General features: G+C 39.1%; 2 long non-coding RNA genes across 5 annotated transcripts in view; one reads left to right on the top strand and one right to left on the bottom strand.

Moving 5' to 3' along the window:
- LINC03122 (long intergenic non-protein coding RNA 3122) overlaps positions 1-14,739 on the bottom strand; it is a 93,238-nt gene that overhangs the window by 32,160 nt on the left and 46,339 nt on the right. Inside the window, exon 3 of one of the 4 annotated variants that reach the window (NR_161251.1) lies at positions 11,768-11,955. The exons of the other annotated variants lie outside the window; for them this stretch is intronic. This is a non-coding gene — a long non-coding RNA (long intergenic non-protein coding RNA 3122). The remainder of the gene's footprint in view (positions 1-11,767; positions 11,956-14,739) is intronic. 4 annotated transcript variants of the gene reach the window in all.
- The window catches only part of LINC03152 (long intergenic non-protein coding RNA 3152), a 35,276-nt gene continuing 20,942 nt past the window's right edge, over positions 406-14,739 (top strand). Inside the window, exons 1-5 of the long non-coding RNA NR_109910.1 lie at positions 406-926; positions 1,199-1,428; positions 2,820-2,855; positions 9,842-9,976; positions 10,824-10,993. This is a non-coding gene — a long non-coding RNA (long intergenic non-protein coding RNA 3152). The remainder of the gene's footprint in view (positions 927-1,198; positions 1,429-2,819; positions 2,856-9,841; positions 9,977-10,823; positions 10,994-14,739) is intronic.

Genomic DNA, 14,739 nt, shown 5'->3' with positions numbered 1-14,739 from the left:
GGTACTCCAGTGCCTCCCTGCACCCAGCCATCCTCAAAGCAACATTGGTATGAATGAGGCTGAGACTCACAGAGAAAGACAATAGTGGACAAAACAAAGTCGTGGCTCCCTGCAGGCTGACAGCCTAGTACAGGGAGCTAAGAACACATAACAGATGAATAGCTATACACACACCAGGTAGTTATAAATGCCATGAAAAATAAGACAGATAAGAGGAGTACAGAATGATGAAGGGCTTGCTATTTTATATACGATGGTCAAGAAAGTCTCTGATTAAGTGTCATTTGAGCAGAGAATGTGCTAGGAAGCTCTATGGAGGAACAGCATTCCAGGGAGATGGAATCACAAATGCAAAGATTCCGAGGTGGAAGCATGCTTGCTTTGTTCCGGGAACACAAGGAAGTCAGTGTGTCTAGAGGGGTGCACAGGGAGTGGCACGGCAAAGGGAATTGCCCCTCAGGAGCAGAGGGTTATGTCAGAGGGGAGGCGCGAACCAGGTCGCATAGCACATTCTAGGATGTAATGAGTGTGGATTCTATGTTGCCATGGGAAGCCAGCATCCTTGCACGAGGTGGTTAAGTGCTGAGAGAAGATAAATCAGATTAAGGGGCTAGAGAGAGACTGGAAGCCTGGGGAAGCTATTTGAAACAAACGGGCAGAGGAGCTCTCTCTGAGGAAGTGACTTTAGGGCTGAGTCTTGAAATATCTGAAGTAGCGACCATGCAGATTTCTGGGATAAGCCAGTTCCAGGCAGAAAAAATAGCACTGAAGTGGGAATAAGCATCACATATCCTGGAAAGAGCAAGAAGGTCAGCGTGGCCAGGGCACAATACCAGAGGAAGCAGGGGGAGGAGGCCAGCCCTGTGGAGGCCGTGGGACGGTACTTGGCTTTTATTCTAAATACACTGGGAAGATTTTCGAGGACTGTAAGTAGAAATGACATGGTATGTGTTTTCGTGGGATTACTCTGATTGCTGCATTGGGAATAGACAATAGCAGGGAAGAAGTGGAAGCAGGGAGACGAGATAGAACCCTGTTGCAGTAGCTAAGGCCTAAGATGGCAATGGCCTAGACAGAGGTGGCTGCAGGGATTAGGTTCAGGACCTATTTTGAAAGCAGAACTGGCAATACTCACTAATAAATAGGATATGGAGGTAGAAGAAAGAGAAATCAAAGATGACTTCTGTTTTTGTTGTAGCTTGCTTGTTTTTCGAGGGAACTGGCTGAAAACCCAGTAGATTTTGGTGGCTGTTCTTGACTAAGAAGAGTGTGGAACAAAGTCACAGAGCCACGGCCCCAGACAAGACCTGGATGAAGCGCTACAGCCTGGTAGTGCCAAGACTGGGAGGGAAACAGAAGAGCACTATGAGACAGAATCCAGAAGCAAGGAGAGGAAGGAAAGGCCTTGGACCCCCTAAGGAGAAGGAGGTTGGGAGGACCTATTAGGGAACACTTCACAGCTATGCTCCCTAGATTACTTTTGTGATCATTATAGAGTAAAACTGACTTTGTGTCTGTATATATTTACAGGTCTATGAATTTCAGTCATTGTATAATATACATATAAAACCACTACCACAATCAGGATACAGAACAATTCCATTGCCCTAAAAAACTCCCTCATGGCATCCCGTGTGTTTGTTTGTTTGTTTGTTTGTTTGTTTGTTTGTTTTTGAGATGGAGTCTCACTCTGTCACCCAGGCTGGAGTGCAGTGGCGTGATCTCAGCTCACTGCAACCTCTGCCTCCCACATTCAAGCAATTCTTCTGCCTCAGCCTCCTGAGTAGCTGGGACTTCAGGCATGTGCCCCCACACCTGGCTAGTTTTTGTGTTTTTAGTAGAGATGAGGTGTCTCCAGTGTTGGCCAGGCTGGTCTTGAACTCCTCATCTCAAGTGATCTGCCTTCCTCAGCCTCCCAAACTGCTGGCATTACAGGCGGGAGCCACTGCACCTGGCCCATGGTATCCCTTTGATCTGTTCTCCATTCATCGTGTCTTTTTGAGGCTGCCATAGAAATTGAATCATATAGTATATAATCTTTTGAGACTGGATTCTTTTTTTTTTTTTTTTTTTGAGATGGAGTCTCGCTCTTTCGCCCAGGCCGGACTGTAGTGGCAATATCTTGGCTCACTGCAAGCTCCGCCTCCCGGGTTCACGCCATTCTCCTGCCTCAGCCTCCCGAGTAGCTGGGACTACAGGCGCCTGCCACTGCGCCCAGCTAATTTTTTGTATTTTTAGTAGAGACGGGGTTTCACCGTGTGAGCCAAGATGGTCTCAATCTCCTGACCTCGTGATCCGCCTGCCTTGGCCTCCCAAAGTGCTGGGATTACAGGCGTGAGCCAGCACGCCCAGCCGAGACTGGATTCTTCCATGCATAATGCCTTTCAAAGGCCTCTGAGATTCATCCACTTGTTGCTTTTTATTGCTGAGTAAATATTCCAATGTATGGATGTACCACAGTTTGTTTGTCCATTCATCCATTGAAGCACACTCAAAGTATTTCCAGATTGGAGCAATTAGGATGAAAGCTTTTGGCAGGCACGGTGACTCATGCCTATAAGGCCAAGGTGAGAGGATCAGTTGAGCCCAGGAGTTTGAGGCCAGCCTGGGCAACATGGTGAAATCCCGTCTTTACAAAAAATACAAAAATTAGCCAGGTGTGCACTTGAGCCATGGAGGTCAAGGCTGCAGTGAGACATGACCATGACACGGCACTCCAGCCTGGGTAACAAAGTGAGAAGACTTGGCCTCAAAAAAAAAAGCTGCTAAAAACATTCATGTGTAGGCTTTCATAAAAACATAAGTTTTCATTTCTCTAGGGTAAACACACAGGAGCAGGATTGCTGGGTCATATGGTAAGTGCATGTTTAACTTTGTAAGAAACTTCCAAACTGTTTTCCAGGATGGGTCCTGCATTTTGCATCCCCACCTACAATGTGTGAGAGTTTCATTTGCTCTGCATCTTCACCAGCACTTTGTGTTGTCAACATTTTTCTTTTACTTCAATAGATAGAAGTTAAAACTACAATTAGCTATCACTACATTTGTGGTGGCAACTTAGCCTCTTAAGTTTTTAAGTGCACTACATTTGTAGTGGTAGCTAATTGTGGTTTTAATTTATATTTCCCTTATGACTAATGATATTGAACATCTACTTAAGTGTTTATTTGCCTTCTTTATGTCCTCACTGGTGATGTGTTCAAAACCTTCGCCCATTTTTTAGTGGGTTAACTGTTTTCTTCATGTTAAGTTTTGAATAATCTTTACCTATTCTAGATACAAGTCCTTGGCCAGATAGGTAATTCGAAAATGTATTTTCCCAGTGTGTGTATTGACTTTTCATTCTCCAAGATAGATCTCTCACAGAGTAAAAGTTCTTAATTTTGATAAAGTCCATTTGTCAATTTTTAAAAATAAATTGTGCTTTTGGAGTCATGTCTAAGAACTCTGCATAATAACAGATAATAAGATTTTTTTCTAGGTTTTTTTCTAAAAGATTTATAGTTTTACCTATTATATTTAAGTCTATAATCCATTTGGAGTTAATTTTTGTATGAAGTATGAGGTTTAAGTCAGGGTTCTTTTTTTGCATATAGGTTTTCAACTGTTTTAATACCATTTGTTGACAACATTATTCTTTCTCCATTGAACTGTTTGTGCACCTTTGTCAGAAATCAATTAGCTGTCTGTTTTGGGGTCTATTTTTAGACTCTATTCTCTTCCAACAATCCTGAACCTTTTCCTTTGTCAATACCATACTGTCTTAATTACTCTAGCTTCATAATTAGTCTTATTGTCGGGTGGTGTGATTCCTCCAGTCTTATTCTGTTTTCAAATACTAAAATAATTGCTTTGAATTTTCATATAAACTTTTTATGACTTTACTTTTTGTTTTTTAAATGTTTATAACAGATATATTATTTTTTTCACTGTTGTAAGGACACTTAACATGTCAACATATCTACCCTTTTAAGTTTTTAAGTGCACAATATTAATTGTAGGCACAATATTGTACAGTAGATCTCTAGAACATGTTTGTCTTGCATAACTGAAACTTCATACCCATTGAAGACGAATCCCTCATTGCCCTCTTCTCTTTATCCCTGGCAACTACAGTCCTACTCTCTTATTTTATGTATTTGGCTATTTTAGATATCTCTTATAAGTGAAATCATACAGCCATTTGTTTTTATGTGATTGGCTTCTTTCACTTAGCATAATGTCCTTCAGGTTCATTCATGTTGTCACATATGGCAGGATTTACTTCTATTTTAAGGCTAAATAGTGTTCCATTGTGTATAAATACCACCTTTTATTTATCCATTCATCTGTTGACAGACACTTAGGTTGATTCCATATCTTGGCTATTATGAATAACGCTGCAACAAACATGGAAATGCAGATATCTCTGTATATGTTCTTAGGAGGTATGTCTATTCAAGGTTCTTTGCCAATTTTTTAGTTGGGTTATTTTATTTTTATGCTATTCAGCTGAAGGTGTTTTTTAATCTTATTTTAGATACTAAACTCTTATCAGAATATGGTATGCAAATATTTTCTCCCAGTCTGTTGATTGTTTCCTTTGTTATACAGTATCTTTTCAGTTTGATGTAGTCCCACTTGTCTATTTTTGCTTCTGTTGCTTGTGATTTTGATGTCATATCCAAGAAATCATTGCCAAGACCAATGTCATGAAGCTTTTCCTCAATGTTTGCTTCTAGGAGTTTTAAAGTTTCAGGTCTTATGTTTAAATCTTTAACCAATTTTGCATTGATTTATATGTATGGTGTCAGATAAGGGTACAATTTCATTCTTTCACATGTATACATACAGTCTTCTTAATAAATTTAAAAGGCCATATACCATGATGAAGTAGGATTTATCCCTGGGATGCAAGGATGGTTCAACATATGCAAAGCAATTAAAGTAATACAGGACATTTAAAAAGGATTCAAAATTACATGATCATCCCAAAAGATGTAGAAAACGCATTTAACAAAATTAAAAATCCTTTCATGAAAAAAAAGAAACCCTCAACAAACTAGGTGTAGAAGGAATTTACCTTAACTTAATAAAGGCTGTATATTAAAAGCTCACAGTGATGTCAGACTCAATGGTAAATTAACAAAAGCTTTTCCTGTAAGATCAGCAAGGCAAGGATGCTCACTCTCAACATAGCACTGAAAGTATTTCTAGGCAACATTGTACAGGAAGTCGTAGCCAGGCCAGAAAAAGAAATAAAAGTCATCCAAATCAGACAGGAAGAAATAAAATTACCTCTTTACAGATGGCATGATCTTATGTGTAGAAAGCCATGAAGACTCCACAAAAACCTATTAGAACTAATAAATGAATTCAATAAAGTTGCAGGTACAAAAATCAGTTGCATTTCTATAGGCTAATAATGAACTATCCAAAAAGGAAATTAAGAACAATTCCATTTACAGTAACATCAATAATTAAAATACTTAGGAATAGGCAACCAAGGAGATGAAAGAGTTATATACTGAAAACTATAAAGCATTGATGAAAGAAAGAAATACATAAATGAATTGAAAGATATTATGTATTCATGGATCAGAAGACTTAATATTGTTAAAATGTCCCTATTACCAAAAGTGGCCTATAGAGTCAATGTAATCCGTATCAAAATCCCAAATGGCATTTTTTACAAAAATAGATAAAACAATTTTAAAATTCACATGAAGCCACAAAAGACTCCAAATAGCCAAATCAGTCTTGAGAAAGAAGCACAAAGCTGGAGACATCACACTTCCTGATTGAAAAATATATTGCAAAGCTACAATAATTAAAACAGTATAGTATTGGCATAAAAACAGGTATATAGATCAATGGAACAGAAGTGAGGGTTGAGAAATAGATCCACATATATACAGTCATCTGATCTTCAACAACAGTGCCAAAAATGCACAATGGAGAATGGATAGTCTCCATATAAATTTTAGAATCAACTTGTCTCTACCTACAAAAATGCCAGGTAGGATATTTTGATTGGAATTGTGTTAAATCTACAGATCAGTCTGAGGCTAACTGACCTCTTTACAACTTTGAGTTTTTCAATCCACGAATGGGGTATGCCTCTTCATTTATTTAGGTCTTTCTTGATTCCTGTAATTATCATTTTGTAGTTTTTTGCACAGATCCTGTGGGTGTTTTGTTATATTTATAGCTAAATATCTCACTTTTCAAAGCTACTATAAATTTTTAAAATTTGTTTTCTAATTATACATTGCTATTACATAAAAATATTATTAATTTTTCTGTACTTACCTTGTATCCTGCAATCTCATTAAACTCACTTCTTTGTTCTAGGAGACTTTTTTGTAGATCCCTTGGAATTGCCTTCATAGACATATATGACACTTGGTGAATAGGGATAGTATTATTTCCTCCTTTCCAATATATATGACTCACTTATTTTGTCTTTTTTATCTGTTGTCTTTCTTGTCTTTTATGTTCAACACTGTGCTTGCTTGAACTCCCAGCACAATGTTGAGTAGGAGTAGTGAGTATGGAGATTATTGTCTTGTTCCCTATTTTAGAAGCAAAGTACATAATCTTTTATCATTAAGCATCATGTCAGCTAGTTTTTTATATGTGCTATTTATTGTTTGAGGAAGTCCCCTTCAATTTCCAATTTTCTAAGAGTTTTTATCATGAATAGATGTTGAATTTTGTCATGTGATTCTTCCACAGCAAATCAAATGAATGTGTGATTTGGGTTCTTAAACTGTTAATATAGTGGATTACACTTGGTCATGGTATGATAATTCTTTTTATGTATAGCTTGATTTGACTTGCTAATATGTTGAAGAGTTTTTTTGTGTTTATGTTAATCAGGAATACTGCTCCGTAGGTTTTTTTTTTTGTTATCTTTGTGTTTTTATTATCTTTGTGTTTATTATCTTTTTTTGTATGTATCTTTATAAGATGCAGATGCAGGTAAAGCAGTGATTAGAGGAAAACTTCTACATTAAATGCTTATTTAAAACGTTTAATAATGCTAGGAAAAAAGAAAGGATTTAAGTCAACAATGTAAGCTTTCACCTGAAGAAACTAGAAAGAGAAAAACCCAAAGCAAGCAGGAGGAAAAAAGCAATAAAAAATAGAGCAAAAATCAATGAGACAAAACATATGTGTTTGATATCAGGTTAATGCTGGCTTCATAATATGAGTTAGGAGTGTTTTCTTCCATTTTCTAGAAGAGATTGTGTAGAGCTGATCTCATTTCTCTTTAAATTTTAGAAGAATTAATCAGTGAAATCATCTGTACCCTGTAGATTTTTTTTCAGAAGAATTTTAATGACAAATTCCATTTGTTAATAGTTATAGAACTATTTAGGTTATCTATTTTATCTTGAGAGTCCTGATAGTTTGGGCTTTTCAAGGAATTGGTATATTTCTTCTCAGTTGTTGAATTTATGTGCATAGAATTATTTGTAGTATTCCCTGATGCTTTTTTTTTATTGAGTTGTTTGTAGTATTCCCTGATGCTTGTTTTTTTATTGTGGTATATAGGATCTATAGCAGTATCTTCTCTTTCATTCTTGATGTCAATAATACTAGTCTTTCTCTCTCTCTCTCTCTCTCCCTCTCCCTCCTCCTCCTCTTCCTTTTTCTCCTCCTCCTCCTCATCCTCCTCTCTCCCCTGCCCCACTTCATCTTATTGAAGGCCTATCAGTTTCAACAGTTTTAATGATCTTTGCAAAGAACCAACTTTTGGGTTCTTTGTTTATCCTCTATTATTTTTCTGTTTTCAATTTCATTGATTCTGTTCTTCATTGCTTCCTTTGTTCCTATTACTGCCATTAAGAGATTGCTTGGGGGCTGGAGTATGAGAGAACAGAGAAAATAAAAAAGTATTAATGGAGTTTTGCACTCTTTCTGAGAGTTAGAATCTCCTGCTCCTTGAACCAGCTTCTCCTGGAGTTCTCTCTGCTCCCTGGTGCCCACTTCTGGCTTTCAGGCCACGTTGTGTTCAGAATGGGAGATATCAGAGAGGAAAAATAATAAACTCACCATAAATTCAGCGATACTCCAAATTCTGGCCTTTTTCCTCAATTTGCTTGCTACTATTTAATTTTTGTGTTCCTTATACATTCTGTCCAGGTTCTATAGTTTCCTTAGAGCAACGAGGTGGAGTGTGTTTCTTTCATCTGACCCCATATTCTTTGAGCCAATTCAAAGAAGGGCATAGGACCTGATATATGGAACCATCTTATCTTCCACCATCACTATCATTCCATCTCCATGAGCTTATCTTCCACCACCACTCCATCTCCATGATTTCCATAGAGATCCCCTGCAGGTGAGATTAAGAGGACTTCAAAGATTGGCACCCTCATGACTAGACAGATCCTGGAGAGTTTAAAAGTATTTTTTCCCTTTAGAAATCAATTCCTACTACATAAGAATGGGTAGTTTTCCCCAAAGGGGATATTTAGTGAATACCATCTTGGGGAACTATGTTCAATTGTGGTATAGGTTTCCCTGAAGGCCTATGGTTGGTTTCATGAAATTATCTTCCAAGCCAGACTGACAGTTTTCGAGATGACTGGATTTTTCTTCAAGGAAAAGCAAGCTTACCTGTTCTCCAGGATCATGCATACTCCCTGTGGTCTTTTCTGATGCTAGGTAAATTTGTTCCAAGTTTCCCATGCTCTACTAAGAGTACAGGATCAACCAGAGCTGGGCATCCACATCATCCTCGTAAAGTGGAGTACCAATTCTCCTAGTGCAATTAGAGAGGAAAGCCCCAGTGGCAATACTCTTGCAGGCTTTATGGAAAGGTAAGTGTGGAGGAAGCCTAACACTAAATGAGAAATCCATACCTTTCCTACATGCCTGCCTGAACCAAATAAACCTTGTGTTACTATACAAGGGCTTGTCTTTTTAATATATTTTAAAATTAAAGTCAACATGGACATAGGGTGGGTGGCTCAAATTGAATGGTCATTGTGCACCAGGCTGGTTATCTCACTGTTAGTTACACAATAAAAGAGGATCAGATAAACACAGACATAACCTCTGCCTCCACTGATAATGTAAATCATCCCTTGTATCATTTGTCTTTCCTTCAGGCTGGATACAAAAGGCATAGAAATGAACAATTCATGCCTAAACATAGAAGAGCTTGAAAGCTAGTGTATGTCAGATGTTTATTCTAGGTCATCATTAAGGGGTTGAGTGGATTTGCTTATAAACACAGGCTATTCTGTCAGTGGGGAGTGGGAGAGATAGAGTGTGTTTTGCAGTTGGAGGCAGCTCTTTTAAAGCCATATTGCAACTTTTCTGCCATGCACAGTAAGTTATACAGATAATTCTTTTTATAGGTTATGAAATGTTGTTCCCTGAGCAGTGGAAAGTATAATATGCTATAGAAACAATGCTTTTTCTCTCCACTTTGTGCAAATGCCATTTTTCATTACCCACTGAGTGAGAGCTTGCTAGAGATTGAAATGAGAGCAGGGTTGCCCTCCCGCTAATGGTCAGGCACTTCATGACACACACTCAGCAACGACCTCCATGGGAACCCGAGGAGGTCTCCCCAAGCAGCTTCCCCCAAAATGAAGTCTGAAGTGCCAAGCCCTTGAAGGATGTCACATCTTTTCATGTTACCCATTTCCACCAGCCTCATTCTCTGCCTAGGGTTTTGTGGGTTGTTGTTTTTCCCACCCAGTCCAACCAAAGCAGCTAAAGAGAAAGTACCAAGACAAACAGAATGAGAGCCTTGGGGACCCCGTAATGGGTACAGAGCATGAGTGTGGTAATCATTCTTTTGATTTGTGCTCAGATATGTTTTCTATTTGCTTTTGCACAGAATGCACATTTTTCCCCCTGGATTGCAAATAATCTGAACCAGGGTAAAACCATTACAAAGTGGCCTTCAAACATCATGTCTGTATTGGAACTGAATGATTGATCAGACATTTAAATACGGAAACTGGGAATTCAGGTAAATGGCACTGATAGGGTTTTGTTTTTGGTTTTTTGCTTTTTGGTTTTTTTTTTTTTTTTTTTTTTTTTAAAAAGCATGCTCCAAGGTGTTTAAATAATCTTTGTTTGCTTGGGTTCTCTCTCTTTTTTGTTTTCTTTCTCTATCTTCATCTATCTTTTTTAAAAAAGAATTCTGCATTTTTCCCTTTTAATTATGCTCTCATTTCAGTGATTTGGTTTTATCCACAAAGCCAAAAATAAAGAAATGATTTTTATATGATTCCTAACAATTAAAACAGGGAGAAAAGATAGAATTCTCAACACCTCCCATGTCTGGTCATCTCTGCTCTTTTTCTGGGGCCATACTTCCCGGGACAATCTTCATCTTCTTACATTGTCATTGGTGTCTCCCGACCAGCCTCTTTTGAAGTTGATCGCAAGCAAAGAAAAAGTACACATAGAATGACTTCTTCAGCTGACTGTCCTCCATTCTCACCCAGAAGAGAGGGGAAGAGGAAAAGCCCGGTTGGGAAATAAAGATGAATGTGCTCCCACGATGCTGGGTGGGGCTGTTTTGTGCTGGAGCAGGCAGGCAAAGGAATCCCACCATGGGGCTCTTGAGTCCCAGGTTAATGTCAAATGCTGGGTTTTCTTTTAGTTACTCAAGGATCAAAGGGAAATTATTCAATAAAAAGGAACTTAAAGGGGACTTCTGTGCCCACATAAACCTTAATCAAAAACACTTGTTCAAATGTAGCTTCCTTGACCTGCCTTTTCATATTGTCTTTTCAGCTCTTATACATACACATTTGTGATTAAAATAAAGATTTTCTCCATCACCATTCAACATTTCCTTTTCCTCTCAGCTGACCAGAATTTCACCAGGGTGACATGACAGTTTGTTGCTAAGGAACTGAAGACTATGTCATAAGTGAGCATTCTGATGAAGAGGAGTGAACAGTTTGCAGCAGATTGGATATTAAGTATAAATCAGCTCTCTGTGTATGTCCTTGTGTGGTGGTATAACTGACAACAGGTGAGAAAAAGAAGGCTCAGGGCATTCCTGCTTGAAATGTGGATTCTTAGCCACCTCCTCTGTAAAAGCTACTACTCATCCCCTCAATTGCCTCTTGCTTTTAAGAATGTCCTCATGCATTCGAACTTTTCACTTCAGCTTGTTTTGCTTCTCTCTGCTCAGATCCATATTCCTCCACACAGTCGTGTCAGAGATTTATCACACTATGACCTCAGTCATATCCTCCTTTAAAAGGAGTCAAACACAAACTTCACAAAGCCTCTAATATTCTAGGTGTTCAGCAGGAAGACTGGAACATGAAATTCCTCCCACTTGGAGCACACCCACATAAATGTTTCTCTAAAATCTATTTATCTTAGTCACGACCTATGAACACGAATAGAATGTAGTGAATGTTCCCTGTCTCTCGTGTGCCTGAGCACTGGGAAAAGTTAGAATTTATACAGTTGTAATTTCTAGGGAGGAGTGCAACAACTTCACATTTTTTTAAACAGAATCATTTAAGAAGGAGAGCATTTTAAATGTGTCCCTTCTCTTTCGCACCATTTAAAAAGATCTCTGCATCTCAATGTGGTTCTTCTGCTATCAGATATGTGGCTGATTTTGTGATTGTTAGATTAAGAAAAATGGAAAATCTGACAGCACATGATTCCACAAATGAATGATACACATACAATAATAGGTAAGTACTCACCATGAGTAAAACAAACAAATATATACAGAAAAGGAAACAGTGATCCTTTGAGGACTGAAGATAAGAGCTTCATTACTTACATAGAAAACTGCAGGAAGATGTGATCTCGATTTGATTGAAGGGAAGTAAACTTCAGCGGTCAGATCCTTGGGTGGTGGGCCAACATTCTGCTTGAACTCTGTCTCTATCGCAGTGCGGGGCAATTTGGAGTAATGCATGTTTGTTCTGCCTAATTGAGGAGGTTGGAAGCTAATGAGTTTTCTGAACACTGCAAAGAAGAATGTTGCATATGAAAGAGAAGCCAAGGGGTACATGGAAATGAAAATGAAAATGAAAAAAAAAATGTCCTGAGAACATGGGAGAGTTCATTGTGTTGGGCTGGGAGAAGTCCAAACAAAATAGGTTTCAGAAAGAGGTGAAGCAGTTAAAAGACACTCACCCGAGCTAGAACAAAACTATAAATGTGGAGTTTGACCCTGACCTCCCATAAATGATGCAGGCATGTGTTGACAAGCAAACAGACCTACAGCATGCCATTTGATTCTGCCCATTATTTATCCCATTACATGGGAATTTCTTTCTGTTCCCCTTGGGGTTTTTTTCCCAACCACCCCAAATGTTTAAAGTCTATATGCAATCTGAGAAGAAAAAGTAAAAGCTACCTCAATTTACCTAATTTAATCTAAATACCTAATTGAAAATGTGTAATTGGACAGACAAGCCTTTGATTAGTGCCAATATAAATTTGGATTAAAGAGATTAGGGCTATTTAGCCTCAAGACAACAGTATTTAGGAGTCTCAACACAGATTGAATTGTTTCTATTCAGGGCTCTGCCAAAATGTAGAGGGATTCAAAAAAAAAAAAAAAAGAAGGAGCAAGAAATAGGCCCTGCCCTTGGGGATTTGGGACACAACAGTCTAAAACATATCAAAGAGACACACAAGATTGCCCAAGCTAAGGGTTCCAAGAGTAGCTTTGGCCAAACATGCTGCAGAAGAGAGGAGAAATCAGAAAAGCCTCGCAGAAAGGGAGATTCTTGTCCTGATCATCAAAAGATATAGAGGTGAGAAGAAGGAAGAGGGTGTCCTTGGGCTAGAGAATAATATACAGAAATGGAAGGAGGCCAAAATACCTCTGAGATGACTAGGAATATTCTGGTTCTTTGTTGGTGTGTGACAAACTACCTCAAAACTACGTGGATTAAAACAAAAATTTTATCGTTCTCACAATTTTTGTGTCGCAGTCATTCAGGAAAGGCTCAGCTGGGTGGCCTATCTCTGCTCTACATGGCACTAGGGTCCATTTCCAACATGGCTTCTTCACTCATACGTTTGGTGCTTGGAGTCTGTGGTCTCTTTCTCTCTCTCTCTCCCTATCTCCCCCTTCCTCACTCCCTATTATTTGCCCCTTGTCTAGGGCTTCTCACAATATGGCAACTTCAGGGTAGTAGGATTTCTTACAAGGCAGCAGAGGCTTCCAAGAGATTGTTCCCAGAGACACAGCCAGAAGTTGCAAGGTTTCTTGTGATTTAGCCTTAGAAGACCCAAACATCATGTCTACCACATTCGAATGTTTAAGCAGGTCTTGAAGGCCAGCCTATGTTCAAGGGAATGGGAATTAGACTGTATCTCTCAATGGGAAAAATAGACAAAAGAAAAAGTGTTGCCAACTTTTATCTACCAGAGGGAACAATTAATAAAGCAGATGGTTTAAGTGAGTGGTCAGAGCCACAGCAGGACAATCATCAGAGCGAGAGGTGGAGGATGAGTGCCAAGGACCTTGAAGGTGAAGTTGAGAGATTTGAACACTTAAAGAATAATACCTTCTTCTCCCAGCATAGTCTCTCTTGTGAAACTGCACTCAGCTGAATGGAAGAGAACACATGATCTCCTAGAGTTTCCAGACACTCAACTAGGGCGATGAAGGAGACTGAAATTCCCCATCTGAATCTCTCTAACAGGAGACTTTCTAGACAAAGCATATTTGGTTGTGAAGAATAGAAACTCATTCCAGCCAGTTTAAGAAAAGCAGGGACCAATTCAAAAGCACTGCAGGCAAGCGTAAGAGCATTCCAGGACAAGAGCTAGGGGATCTGGGCCACAGGAATTCTGACAAGTCTGATACTGCAAAACCCAGAGCCAGGGTTACTCTTCTGTTCCTGACAGGAGCCTGAAGTCTCTCATCTCTTTGCCAGCTTTGATCTCTTTCTTGACTTCATGGACAAGCTTTCTCCATTGACTGACTCATCAGAGTACACATGGCCAAAAATGGCTGACCCAGGCCTGGGTGATCTTTGATTCCTCCAGGACCAATATGCCTTTGATTCCAAGCACCCAACAGTATCTGACTCCAGGTTGTGTATCTCTTGACTTGAATTCTGGAGATGAGGCATCTAGTTGGATTAGACCAGTCCATGGATTGGTTCCCCTTGAGAGAAATGTCCACTTTTGGTTCAATCAACAATGGCTGTAGAGCAGGCTTAGGTGTTTAAAGACAAGTAATATGAAAGCATCATTGCCTAGCTCCCCTCTCCATATCAGTGAGAGGGCATAGGTAGGAAGCAATTTGAGAGAAAAGGTGTAGGATAGCTAAATGACAAGAAAGAAGGACCAGGTGGAAAACATGCGTGGGGCTGGGGCTAGGATAAAGACAGAGCAGGCTGGTCTCCAAGCCATTCTTCATTCAAATTCCAAACCCCTTCCCTGATGGAGTCAGACCAATTCCCTGTTGAACTTGTCCTGGCAGCCTTGATGTATGAAGCAGTAAAGTAATAGACAGTAATGGATGGTATCAAAGAAGGTGCCTTCTTATCTGGCTCTCACAGAGGATTTTACAGTGGTATTGGGGGGTATTGGCCCTCTCTTTCTGCATTATTCTCCAGCATACATATCTATGCTCAGGTCATAAGGGAAAGACTGATAGTGTAAGTGCTTTAATAATTTTAATGAAAATTATTAGGTTTTACTTAACATGATTTACTTATAGGCCACCTGCCTGCACATAGCTCCCATGTAGAGATGGCAGAGATCCCTGCAGCAGGGATAACCCCA

This window comes from Homo sapiens, chromosome 5, assembly GCF_000001405.40.
Source record: "Homo sapiens chromosome 5, GRCh38.p14 Primary Assembly".
NCBI classification, from domain to species: domain Eukaryota; kingdom Metazoa; phylum Chordata; class Mammalia; order Primates; family Hominidae; genus Homo; species Homo sapiens.
The sequence above is the reverse complement of the archived record's forward strand: the minus strand, read 5'-3'. Positions and strand labels throughout refer to the sequence as shown.